This window comes from Homo sapiens, chromosome 4, assembly GCF_000001405.40.
Source record: "Homo sapiens chromosome 4, GRCh38.p14 Primary Assembly".
Classification (NCBI taxonomy): Eukaryota; Metazoa; Chordata; class Mammalia; order Primates; family Hominidae; genus Homo; species Homo sapiens.
This window is the reverse complement of record NC_000004.12, coordinates 52,698,673-52,712,112: the sequence shown is the minus strand read 5'-3', so window position 1 is coordinate 52,712,112 and position 13,440 is coordinate 52,698,673.

Below are 13,440 nucleotides of genomic sequence, written 5' to 3'. Positions count from 1 at the left end.
GACCCTTCCTCGGGTGCCCTTCTGGAGAGGGCATCGAGGTTACTCCAGGGTTGGCCTAAGGCCCTGGGATTCCCTTTCTTAAAGCCACACTAATCCGGTGTGTGTTCATCATCTGTGTCCGCCTAAACCGTAAGCTTAAAGAGAAGCCACGACCATGTCTTGTTCAACAAGCTCACTCCCGTGGCCTCTCCTAAAGCTAGAAGGACTACCTCCTTTCCTCATGCTCCCTCTTTATTCATTTACAGAGTCCAATAAGTAGACCATAATCAGCTGGAGGGTAGGAGTTGGGGAGGTTGAGAAGGCAACCATAGCAATCTCAAGGTAACAGGCTCAAACTTGGCAAACAAATAAGTAGAAGAAAATTGGAGTATATGCTAAAAGGAGAACTTCTATTGCTGTTTCACGTACTTACCATCTGCTAACAAATCTAATCCTCAAAATATATTTAATCATCTCCAAATTATAGATGGGGAAATAATTATGTTATGTAACTTGCCCAAAGTCACAGAGCAGCTAGCCAGTGGTAGATCCAGGATTTGAACTCAAGCAGCCTGAAGGCAGAGCCCCTCAAACAACATGCTACCTAGCCTTTCCCCAGGTGTTGGGGGTGGAGCAGGAAGGGAAACCAAAAAATAGCCTACACTTGGTTAACAGATCAAGACAGGCAGCTCTGGTGGGGTGTGGCTTTGTAAACAGAAAGAACAACTCGTCCAGAGCCCCAAGATAAAACAGGAAAGGGCTTTACCTGTTTAAGGACTCCCAGAAATGGAACTTAAGGAGCAGAGTGGCCTGAGATGAGAATGGCTTGGGGCCAGACCATGCAGGAAACCCTGGAAGAGTTTTTTTGTTTTGTTTTGTTTTTGAGATGGAGTCTCGCTCTGTTGCCCAGACTGGAGTATAGTGGCACGATCTTGGCTCACTGCAGCCTCCACCTCCCAAGTTCAAACTATTCTCGTCTCGGCCTCCCGGGTAGTTGGGATTACAGGCATGCACCACCATGCCTGGTTAATTTTTGTATTTGTGAAAGAGTTTATACTTTGTGCTAAGAATGATGGAAAGCTGTTCAAGTGTTTTGTTTGTTTGTTGTGTGTGTGTGTGTGTGTTTTAACAGGGGAATGATAGGATCTGATGTAGGGTGTGGTTTCGGGTGTGATTAAGGTGGTTTTGGTGGGAAGAAGAAGTTGAGTAAAATTTACCAATAAACCCTAGCACCTAGTCATCATCTTGCAGATATTCATAGGATCTTGTTGAAATTGGAGAGTGAATACCAGTTTGTTGTCCCTTCACCTTTCTCAAGAGTCTTCCAAACATATCTCTAGTTGGAATCTGTTCTTTTTATAGTCCCTTTGGATAGCTGAGAGATATTACCTTTCCTTTAACTATGGCAATGCATGTGGTCAGGCAACATGGGAAAATATAGGAAAAGAGAAGTAAATCTCCTTAGTAAAGAGACTAATGCAGGAATTCAGCAGCAACCTAGCAGGGGCTGGGGGTAGTTGTGCAGAATGTCTTCCCTCCTCCCCAAATCAGGGGATAAAAATGGGAAGGAATTATGAAAGAATTATATTTGTGTTTGATTTAAGAGAAATTCACCTTAATCTGAAGGCTTCACATTTCTGGCCAAATACCTCAATTCAATGAACTTACAAACAGTTCATTCGAAATAGTAAAACTGTTCACTGGGCTTAGAGGAGAAATGTCTATTAAATACAGAGACAATAGAACAAAATAAACTGATTTATAATTGCTTTTGAGTTAGGTTCAAGATAATATATATTTGGTACTAAAAATCCTTATAATGCAGTTTAAAGAGAATTGTTTCAATTGGGTTTATTATTAGGCCTAATTTTTTTAGAGAAATTAGTATGTCTAATCAATCCTTCTTTCTTTCTTTTCTTTCTTTCTTTTCTTTCCCTCCCTCCCTCCCTTCCTTCCTTTTCTTTTCTCTCTCTCTCTCTTTCTTGCTCTCTCTCTCGTCTCTCTCCCTCTCCCTTTCTTTTCCCTTTGACAGGGTCTTACTCTATCACTCAGGCTAGAGTGCAGTGGCACAATCATAGCTCACGGGTCAGGCTCCAACTCCTAGGCTTAAGTGATCCTCCCACCTCAGCCTCCCAAAGCATTGGCATTACAGATGTGAGCCACCACGACTGGCCAATCTGTCCAATTTGAGGGAGTTCAGTCTCTCCAAATTTAATCTGTCGGAAGTTGAATAAAGGGACCTAGAAGAATACCCACCAGCCCTCCAGATATTCTCAGCTGGATTTCCCAGAGACACCACAAAATCACTCTTTTGGCCCAGAATTTATTCTCTTCTTCCACCCCTCCACTTCCTTTTTGTGTCCTCTGTCTTGAAGAATAACAATTCCTTAGCCCAGCTGTCCAGGACTTAGCGCAAATGCTTTCCTTTCTCAGTCTCCTCCTCCATTTCTCAGCCTCCTACTTCCTCATCTTCTTCCATGCGGGCAGTTCTTCCTATTGACCACCATGACTCTGCCTCTTCTTTCCAGCCCTTGCTTGTACTTTAGTTCTAGCTCCATCATTTACTTTCAGCATCATCCACTGCAGTAGCCTCCACCTTCATTCAGCTTCCCTGTCTCCAGTGTTCCCTTCCCCATGAATTCTTCCACACTGCTGTCATCTCCATTGGAAATTGTTAAATGGCTCTTTACTGCCACCAGAAACAAAACCAACCTCCACCTATCTACTTCCTCCTCTCACTTCCCACATACCTATTATAATCCAACCATGCTGAACTAATGGCAGTCCCCTGAATGCTGTCCAGCACTCTCCCATACAACTTTCTGCAGTGATGGAAATGTTCTATATCTCTGCTGTCCAGTATGGTAGCCACATGTGGCTATTGAGTACTTGAAATGTGACTAGCACAACACAAGACCTGGATCTTAAACTTCATTTACTTTTAACTAATTTAAATTTAAATAGTCATGCTGGGCCTGGTGGTGGTATGCCTATAATCCCAGCTACGTGGGCAGAAGTCTGAGGTGGGAGGATCCCTTGAGGCCAGAAGTTTGAGGTTGCAGTGTGCTCAGACAGTGCCTGTGAATAGCCACTGCACTCCAGCTGCCGCAATATAGCAAGACTCCATCTCTACAGAAAAAAAAAATTAGCCAAGCATGGCAGAACAGGCCTGTAGTCCCAGCTACTCAGGCAGCTGAGGCAAGAGGATCACTTGAGCTCAGGATTCAAGGCTGCAGTGACCTATGATGGCACTACAGCACTCCAGACTGGGTGACAGAGCAAGACATCTAAGATAAATAAATAGATAAAAATAAAAGTCACATGTGGCTGGTAGATACTACATTGAACTGCACAATAGTTTACATCCTTGCTTCTCAAAGCGTGGTCCATCAGCCTGGGCATTCCCTGGAAACTTGTAGTAATGCATAATCTCAGGCCTCATCCCAGATCTGCTGATTCGGAATCTATATTTCAACAAGATCCCCAGGTGATCTGTATGCACATTAAAGTTTCAAGAGCCACAGCTCTAATAAGCTCTTGCTTCCTTGCCTTTGCATGTGGTGTTCTCTTCGTCTGGGCTGCCTGTCACCTGTTCTTTTTTCCTTAACTCCTACTTATCCCTAGACCTATCTACACTCACAACCTGCTGTTAATATGGTAATCCAGAGGGTAGGGGATGAAGGATATGGGGGAGAGGAGTGAGAGGGAAGGAGAAAATATCTATGATAAAACCACTTGTATCTTGTAATCTTAAATAACTATATGTATGTAGCTATATAATATAAATACATACATACTATGTATATATTTATAGTATAGTATGTATATATGTATAGTATTCTATGTATATACATGTACAAGTATAGTTTGTGTGTGTGTGTGTGTGTGTGTGTGTGAAAATATGGTTACTACAATGTCAGTGGTATTTCTCTCAAGGTGATGGGATTTCATGTGTCTTACTTTCTAAAAATATTTTTGAGGTATCATTCAAATTCTTTACAAAGAGCATGTATTACTGATATAATAATTTTCATTACAGAAAACAAAATAAGGGCTATATTAGCCTTTTGTAAGTAACTTCAAGAACACGATATCGGAATAAAGTATAGCGTTTTACAAAAAAGGAGAGCCCCCACCTTCCACAGTTAGAGACACTCCCTTGTCTACAACACAAGAGCGGGCAGTAGGCATGGCATAGGCAACAACCAACCTGAAAGCAGAAGAATGATCTCTTGTGATGCCTCCACTGCTGTCTCCTGTGTCTACCCTCCCACCCCCACAGCAGACATGGTCCTAGCACCACGACAATCACCTCTTCTCCATCCCCTGCCTGACTCCTAGCTAGGGCTGGAGTCTGAAAAGGGGCCTTAGGTGTACAGAGAAGGTCACCTGGAATCACTAGAAGCATCTGCAGAAGTATATGGATATGTTGGGTGACTCAGATGACATCTCGTTTGGTCCTTAGCATCAAGGTTTTGTTCTATCAAATATTCTATTAAGAACGAATGTTTTCATTTTTTGGCTATTGTATTTCTTTTCTAAATTTTGGCAATTTTTTCTTTACTGAAAAAAAGATGACAATTACCTGAGAGGTTATTTTAAATTCATGGCAAAATGTGTTTTGCTGAGCTATGGGATGCAATTTCTGCAGATCTTAGTGTGCTCAGCTGTGGAAGTCAGTTATAGGGTATAGAGTTCTGGTGGTAGGGTAAGGCCCAAAAAGCCACCAGAATGAATAGAGGAGACAACATAGCCTGGAGCCAAGACATAGTTTATATTCTGCACAGTAACTAATTTGCAAAAATAACAGGATGTTGTGAAATTTGATTAAGCAGCAAGGTGAGGGAGGCATTTTGGGGGGTTAGATCAAATTATTATTATTAAGGGTATTGTACAAGTTCCAATTCAATTCTAAAGATAGAAGGAAATTTATATTCTTTATTTTAAAACAAGTTGGCTTATCTAAATAAGTAACAAACTCAGTGTTTTATTTTATTTATTTATTTATTTATTTATTTATTTATTTATTTTGAGACGTGGTCTTGCTGTGTCGCTAGAGCTGGAGTTCAGTGGCACGATCTGGGCTCACTGCAACCTCTGCCTACCAGGTTCCAGCAATTCTCATGCCTCAGCCTCCTGAGTAGCTGGGATTACAGGCGCCCGCCACCACGCCTGGCTAATTTTTGTATTTTTAGTAGAGACGAGTTTCGCCAAGTTGGCCAAGATGGTCTCAATGTCTTGACTTCGTGATCCACCTGCCTCAGCCTCCCAAAGTGCTGGGATTACAGGCATGAGCCACTGTGCCCGGCCCAAAATTCAGTGTTGCAAATCATCCTTTTGTACATGTATGATCATATTTATAATTCTATATCTATTTATCAATCTACTACTGGCAGCACCCACCTCATGTATTGGCGGCTCCAGAGGTGTCATGTGACTTGGATACCGGAATGGAGCCAGCCTTTGTGAGGTGTGAAAGCTTATACAATTTGGGTGGTCCTTCTTCTTAAAAGAAACAATGCAAAATTTTACAAAAATATGCAACCCCATGGACACATTGTTAGAGCCCCTCTTGGGCCCTAGGTGAGGCCCATGCAAATAAAGAAATTGACACCTAAACTTTACTTCAACAGTTTTAGGGTAAATCTACCTTGGCTGCTCAGATGCTCTAGAAAGGGGAATTGTTGGCTATCCTTTAATACCATCCTTAGCACAGCACAGCTAAGGAGGAAACTCCATGCTTACACAAGGGCTTCTTCCTTAATCATCAGCAACGGCCCAGTTTACTGTACACCTAGTATTTGTGCCAGGCACTGTTCTAAGCTTTTTTTTTTTTTTTTTTTTGCATTGTCTCTTTTGATTCCTCATACTAACACTGAGATATATGTACTAGATGATCTTCATTTTACAGATAGGAAACTGAGACCCAGAGATATTGAATAACTTGCCCAAGAAGAGGTACCCACTGAGTGCTGAAAAACAGGCAGAGGTGGGAATGGGTTGCCAGCTGTTGAATTCCTGGGTCTGTGCTATCTAAGAACAGTAGCAGAAAGAGAGGCCCAAGCCACCAAACTGAGATTCAACAACCTGACCTCTGCTGTGGGGTGAGCTTGTTGAAAGCAGGTAGGACTATAAGTGACCTGATAGGTCACTAGGAGAAAAATCCAGTTTCCAGAACTAGACAGAAGGTCTCAGCCAAATACGGGGAGTTGGGGGTAGGGAAGCTTGCTTCTGAGCCCCAGGAACCTCCACTATATAACATAAGATTGGTTTTAGAGATTCAGAGATGAGGGGTCAATGGGCAGAAAGGTTTCCTGACGTCCACAAACTCAAAATAAAAATTGCCATTTGTACACTCTGAGCAGCCACAAAGCTCTCTGGACAATAAAGCTGCTGAGAAGTCATCTAGGAACAGTTTAATGCCACCTTTCTCCACCCTCTTTGGGATAAATATACATCACATGCTCGTCCTCTTTTTTAGTCTTGCACACAAACACATTAATCCCAATGTCTTCTTCAGACCTGCATTTAAGTCACTTTTTTTCCCCAATGTTGGAAAGCCCTAATAACAAAACTAAACCCCCCTTAGTTCTACCCTCTCTAATTTAATTTCATTTGCGTGGTAAAAAACCAGCATATTTATCGTTGATAAATATCAGAAGAGAGCTTCAGATATCCCTGTATAAAGGGAGAGGGAAGTAGTACATGTTAATAGTGAAATGGAGTTAACCAAGAACTTGAAAACAACTTGTATTTGCAATTTATTTGTGCTTTTTAATTTCTACTTTTTGTATTTATTGATGATTATTTGTGATTTATTATTTATTCATTGCGTTTTGTTTTTGTTTTTGTTTTTGTTTTGAGAAAGAGTCTTTCTCTGTCGCGGAGACTGGAGGGCAGTGGTGCCATCTCGGCTCACTGCAAACTCTGCCTCCTGGGTTTACGCGATCGCCTGCCTCAGCCTCCCAAGTAGCTGGGATTACAGGGAGGAACCCCCACACCCAGCTAATTTTTGTATTTTTAATTGAGACGGGGTTTCACCATATTGGAAAGGCTTGTCTCAAACTCCTGACCTCAAGTGATCCGTCTGCCTCAGCCTCCCAAAGTGCTGAGATTACAGGTGTGAGCCATCGCACCTGGTCATTTATTTATTATTTACAGCCCAGTTTAGTCCAAAAAGGATTTGAGTGTAATTTACACAAATACATTACAATGAGATTTTCAAAGAACAGTGAGAAAGTTGGAGTGCAGGGAAAATATGATTAAAGTCCAGGGCTAGTACACAAAATAAAACCATGGGGAATACTTGCTGGAGGAAGGCCAAAAATTTTGCTCTGAGCTGCCTGGCAGTCAATGTAAAACATCAGAAAATAGAAAAAAAAAATGACACTCAAGAGAAACACAAATATTCCTGAAAGAAATTTCTTCCGTGGGTCTTTATAAAGAGGGTACTATAACCAACCTCCTCAATACCGATAATCTAAAGAGAATAGTTTTTTACTTGGAAAATAGGTGTGTTAAAAAAAGAAAAAAAAAGAAAAAAAATGTTTTTAATCTCTCTAGCTTTTGGGTGTCCAGGATTTTTGATGCCTAGCCAAGATGATTTGCTTGCTTGAACTCAATTAAAACAAAATGTTTTTCAAGTCCCAATTATCATTTGGCAAGAGAGTTATCTGTCATGCAGGTGAAACTTGGGGAAGAAATTGGACTTTTAACTGATTGTGAAGCAGATAGGCTACACTCTGCTGTAATAGTAAAATCAATGGCTAAAAACAGATGGCATGTCCCATAACAAAGATGTGGTAATTTGGGTTAGTTCCCTGGCCAAAGATTCAGCATTTAGTCATAGACATACGTGTGTATGTGTGAGTGTGTGTGTGTGTGTGTGTGTATGTGTGTGTGTTGTCAACTTTAAATAACAAGATTCAAAAAATATTTTTAAGTATAGAATTTATTTGAGCTCAAAGTTTGAGGGTGGCCACCCAGGAGCAAAGATTCAAGTTATCCTGAATATACACTCTGATTAGCAGCCGTTACAAGTGGGTTTATTTTTAATTTTTAGCTTTTTTAAAGACAGGGTCTTTCCCAGGCTGGAGTGCAGTGGCATAATCATGGCTCACTGTAACCTTGAACTCCTGGGCTCAAGTGATCCTCCTACCTTAGCCTCCTGAATGGCCAGGATTACAGGCAAGTGCCACCATGCCCAGCTACTTTTCAAAAATTTTTTGTGGAGATGGGGTCTTCTTAGGCTGGCCAGTCTGGTCTCAAACTTCTGGCCTCAAGCAATCCTGCCTCAGCCTCCCAAAGTGCTGGGATTATGGCCACAGTGGGTTTATTATTATTTTTATTTTTTGGTAGTTCAATGATCCTTATTCTGAAAGTGAATTTTTAAAGGAAAAAAGAAGAGCAGTTCCTAAATTGTAATGTAAACCAATAATTTACATTAAGGTAACACAAGCTACTGATTGATTATACATTGTTCTTTGTGTCACAAATTCCAGGAACATGAAGATAATGGGGGCTGGGAGTGGTGGCTCATACCTGTAATCCCAGAATTTTGGGAGGCTGAGACGGGCAGATCGCCTGAGGTTAGGAGTTCGAGACCAGCCTGGCCAACATGGTAAAATCCCATCTCTACTAAAAATACAAAAATTAGGCTGGGTGCGGTGACTCAAGCCTGTAATTCCAGCAGTTTGGGAGGCTGAGGTGGGCGGATCATGAGGTCAGGAATTCAAGACCAGCCTAGCCAACATGGTGAAACCCCATCTCTATTAAAAATACAAAAAAATTAGCCGGGAGTGTTGGCGCTCACCTGTAATCCCAGTTACTTAGGAGGCTGAGGCGGGAGAATCGCTTGAACCTGGGAGGCGGAGATTGCAGTGGGCCGAGATCACGCCAGGGCACTCCAGTCTGGGTGACAGAGTGAGACTCTGTCTCAAACAAACAAACAAACAAACAAAAAGATAATGGGGGAAGGGGCTAGTCAGGAACAAAATGCCTTTAAACAATTGTCCCTGGGAATGGATGTGGGGAGCAGGGGTAGGACGTGATGAAGTTCCATACTCATGTACCTCTGGGCCAAATAGATTTTTGCATACCTCACATGGCTCAGACTGTTCTGACCTATTTTTTTTCTCATTTCCCCCCTTTTCATCAAGACCTTTCAAAGAAAGCATTGTAGGTGAACTCAAACAGTTTTGGCTTCAGTTATGTTCAGGAGTTTAGTCCCATGTCATCAGGAAAACTCATTCCCAGGTGGTCCTGTTCCACATGGGGGGTGGGAGAAACAGGATACATCTCATGAGGAATTTTAAGAGTCCCCAAAGGCTAATTGGGATGGCATCACAGGGTGGCAAAAATGAGACCTCAGTCAAGTCATTGATTTATATAGCTGCTGTCACTTGTTGAATCATCTCTAGTATTCAGATTACCATGAGTTTAGTTTTCTCAGAAGTAAAACAAGGGATACATAGTAGAAATATAATACACATAAAGATTATAATAAAAAAGAGAATTTGAATGCCAAAATGAAAAAAAGAAAACCCTATTCTATAAAGGAGTCAACTACAAATATTATGAAGAAAATTAAAACCTGGTCCTTCTTCAGAAAATTCTTATAGCCAGGAAATAATTTAGGATTTAGTTCAAATTGTAGAGAAATAATAAAATGTTAAAAACAGTGTTCAGGACTGGTATACAGGAAAAGGTGTGCTATAGTTTTCTTCTGAAACATATTTTTTCCCTCTTCAGCTCCACATTTCTCCTAAAGGTAAATTTTAATAGGACCAATTTACTTGCAAAATAAGTTTTAGTATTATACTTGGCCTGATTATTTGCATAAAACTCAACAAGAATAGTGAATGGCCATATTTTAAGTTGGCTTTCCTGGAACTTCTTTTTTTTTTTTTTTTTGAGACAGAGTCTTGCTCTGTCCCCAGGCTGGAGTGCAGTGGGGCGATCTCAGCTCACTGCAAGCTCCGCCTCCCGGGTTCATGCCATCCTCCTGCCTCAGCCTCCGGAGTAGCTGGGACAGCAGGAGGCCACCTCCACGCCCGGCTAATTTTTTTGTATTTTTAGTAGAGACGGGGTTTCACCGTGTTAGCCAGGATGGTCTCAGTCTCCTGACCTTGTGATCCGCCCGCCTCAGCCTCCCAAAGTGCTGGGATTACAGGCGTGAGCCACCGCACCTGGCCTGCTGGAACATTTTAATAAGGAATTTAAGTTTTTTTTTTTTTTTTTGAGACAGTTTCACTCTTGTTGCCCAGGCTGGAGTGTGATGGCGCAGTCTCGGCTCAGCTCAACCTCTGCCTTCTGGGTTCAAGCGATTCTCCTGCCTCAGCCTCCCAAGTAGCTGGGATTACAGGCGTGCACCACCACGCCTGGCTAATTTTGTATTTTTAGTAGAGGCGGGGTTTCTCCACGTTGGTCAGGCTGGTCTCAAACTCCTGACCTCAGGTGATCTGCCCGCCTGGGCCTCCCAAAGTGCTGGGATTACAAGTGTGAGGCACCATGCCCAGCCACTTAAGATTAAACTTTTAAAAGCTTCTTGAAGTTAGGATACCAAGCCAGGGATTTACCATCAGACTGTGCGTGTAGTACCTGTATGAATTGGGTGAATTCCTCTCTTCTCAAGGTCTCAAAAATATCTTGAGGTTCCCGGATCTTCAGAAAGTGATATTATTCATTTACCACAAGGTCAGAAACAGTGTAGACAAGGTACCTGGCCAGTCTTTCCAACAGCTTTTTAGCAGCTATATAAAATCAGTTTCAATTCCTCAAAGCAGTCTGGTCATATGTAAAACATGCCATTCCCGTCAAGCCTTAGTAAAATTACCAGTTCATCTAACATGTCCTGTTACAAAAGAAAACATATTTTTATTGAACCTATTCAAATAATTATATTTCCATAAAATAGGAATAGTCACCAATAGTTTCCAAATTTTGGAAAAATCAGGTAGACAGAAAGGTAATTGTTTCAATTTTGCTTACAAAAGTATACTTTAGTCAATTGCTGTGAGCTATAAATAACTGAAAAGAAAAATGTTTTCTTGACTCTAGAAAATGAAATATAAAAAGAACCAGGAATGTTTCAAACAAAAAATGTCATAAAAGTAATTTTAGTCCTCTATCAAGTCAGTACCATGTAATAATTCTTATTCTGCCTGATGTTTTGTTAGCAATTTCATGAACACATAAGCTTTTTATTAGAGTTCTGGAAATTTTGACTTGGTCTAATGGTATGATCTCTAAAGTTATCAGAAGCCTGTTCTCAAGGGTACTTGTCAGGGCTCTTTTCACTGAATTTACTTGAAGAAACAAAAAAAGAAGTGAATTCACTTGAAGAAGCAAATATAGACTATAATCTATTATAAACCACTTTTTTAGTAGAATAAAAGTAAAGCAATGATTGTGAATGAAAAAAGACTTAGAATAGCCATGGTTAAAGATGCAATTGAAAATGCAATTCTACTGTTTCTGTGGCATACAACAATTTAACATAATAATTATAAATAGGACTGATAGGCCAAGCACAGTGGTTCACACCTGTAATCCCAGCACATTGGGAAGGCGAGGCGGGCTGATCACCTGAGGTCAAGGGTTCCAGATCAGCCTGGCCAACATGGTGAAACCCAATCTCTACTAAAGATACAAAAAATTAGCCGGCCATAGTGGCGCACACCTGTAATCCCAGCTACTCGAGAAGCTGAGGCAGGAGAATTGCTTGAACCCAGGAGGCGGAGGTTGCAGTGAGCTGAGATCGCGCCATTGCACTCCAGCCTGGGTGACAGGGCAAGATTCCGTCTCAAAAACATACATACCTACATACATACATAAGATATAACATATATCAAGACATATCAGAATTTTAAGAACCTCATATAATTTTGGAACACATATTAATAATACATTTATGCAAATATAACTCGAAAAAGTTAAACACCATTTCTTATTTAACATTGCCTCCTATGAGTTTAACATACCAAATAAGCCTAACATGTCTCTTGAGGATTTTCAGGAGTTCCTGTTTGTTAAGTGCAAGTTAGTTCAGGTCAAAAAGACTTAATTTTAGAATTCAAAATTTAATTTTGGGAAGTATGTCAAATATTAAAGGTTTAGTATTTGATATTAAAATAAGAACAGTTTAAAACATATGATCAAAATAGAATCACAGGTCACTGTAAAAAATAATCATTCATTTACCCAAAATGATAATTAACATATTTCAAAAAGCAAAAACTTTTACTCTGATAGAGAGGAGACCATTTCCAGTCAAGAAAAGAAAAAAAAAGGCAGCATGAGGCAAAGTCTTCCTCTACTTTTTTTTGCAGTTTACTCAAAAGGTAAATAAATATGTTACAATGTCTTATTAATACTATGTGAAATTCTTGTTCGAAGGAGAAAATCAAATTTTACTTTCATATTAGTATATTAATAACAATAAAGCTAATTTTAATAAAGCCTGATAAACAAATTCATCCAATCTAACAGCTTTGGCCACACAAGATGAGATTTCTATAAACATTTTATAACCTCTTAACAATTATCTATTAAAGACCAGATCAATTCTCTAAGAAAACTGTGTTGTTTTACATAGGGTCCTAGACTCTGGTCTTGAATCAATTTGCTCAATTTTTATTTTATTATTTTTTAATGAGAGCACAATACAAAAATTTATTTCAATAATGGTGATAACCTAAAGCCACAGAACAAAATATAAATTACATTTAGAATACTCTATTTAGGATGCTGAATTTCCATTTTATTTAAAAATATTTTTCTTAATAAATTAACATACACAAATTTTGATGCCAAATTCTTCCATGACACTAAACATTTAAGGTGTTGATGAACATGATCTGTGTGCAAGAATATATATATATACTTGTGGATATATTATTCTATAGAAGAGGGAAATTATCCTTTTATATATCAGAGGGTCCCATAGGATTGAAGAAGTTATAGGAAGACTAATATTTTTTTTTTCAGCTATATCTACTGGAATGGGAAGCTAACCTTTTTAAATAATTGAAGATATACAACAGTGAAAAAAGATTCCTTGTAGTGGAGCTGAACTTATGCTCTCTGGAAAAGTAAAATCAGTGTTGAGTTTATCATCTTTTTGTGATCTGAAGATAGTGATGCTAGTTTTGTTGAGTGATTAGACACTTATGACCCTTCTGACTTTTGTTTATTTTTTGTTAGGGCTCAGCAAAATAATTTTTTTTTCCTGTTTTTTAAAATTTTTTATTTTAGGTTTGGGGGTACATGTGCAGGTTTGTTACATAGGTAAATTGCATGTCACAGGGGTTTGGTGTACACATTATTTTGCCACCTAGGTAATAAACATAGTACCCTATAGGTAGTTTTTCAATCCTCACCCCCCTCCCACCCTCCAACATCAAGTAGGCCCCAGTGTCTCTTGTTCCGTGCCTTGCGTCCATATGTACTCAATGTTTAGCT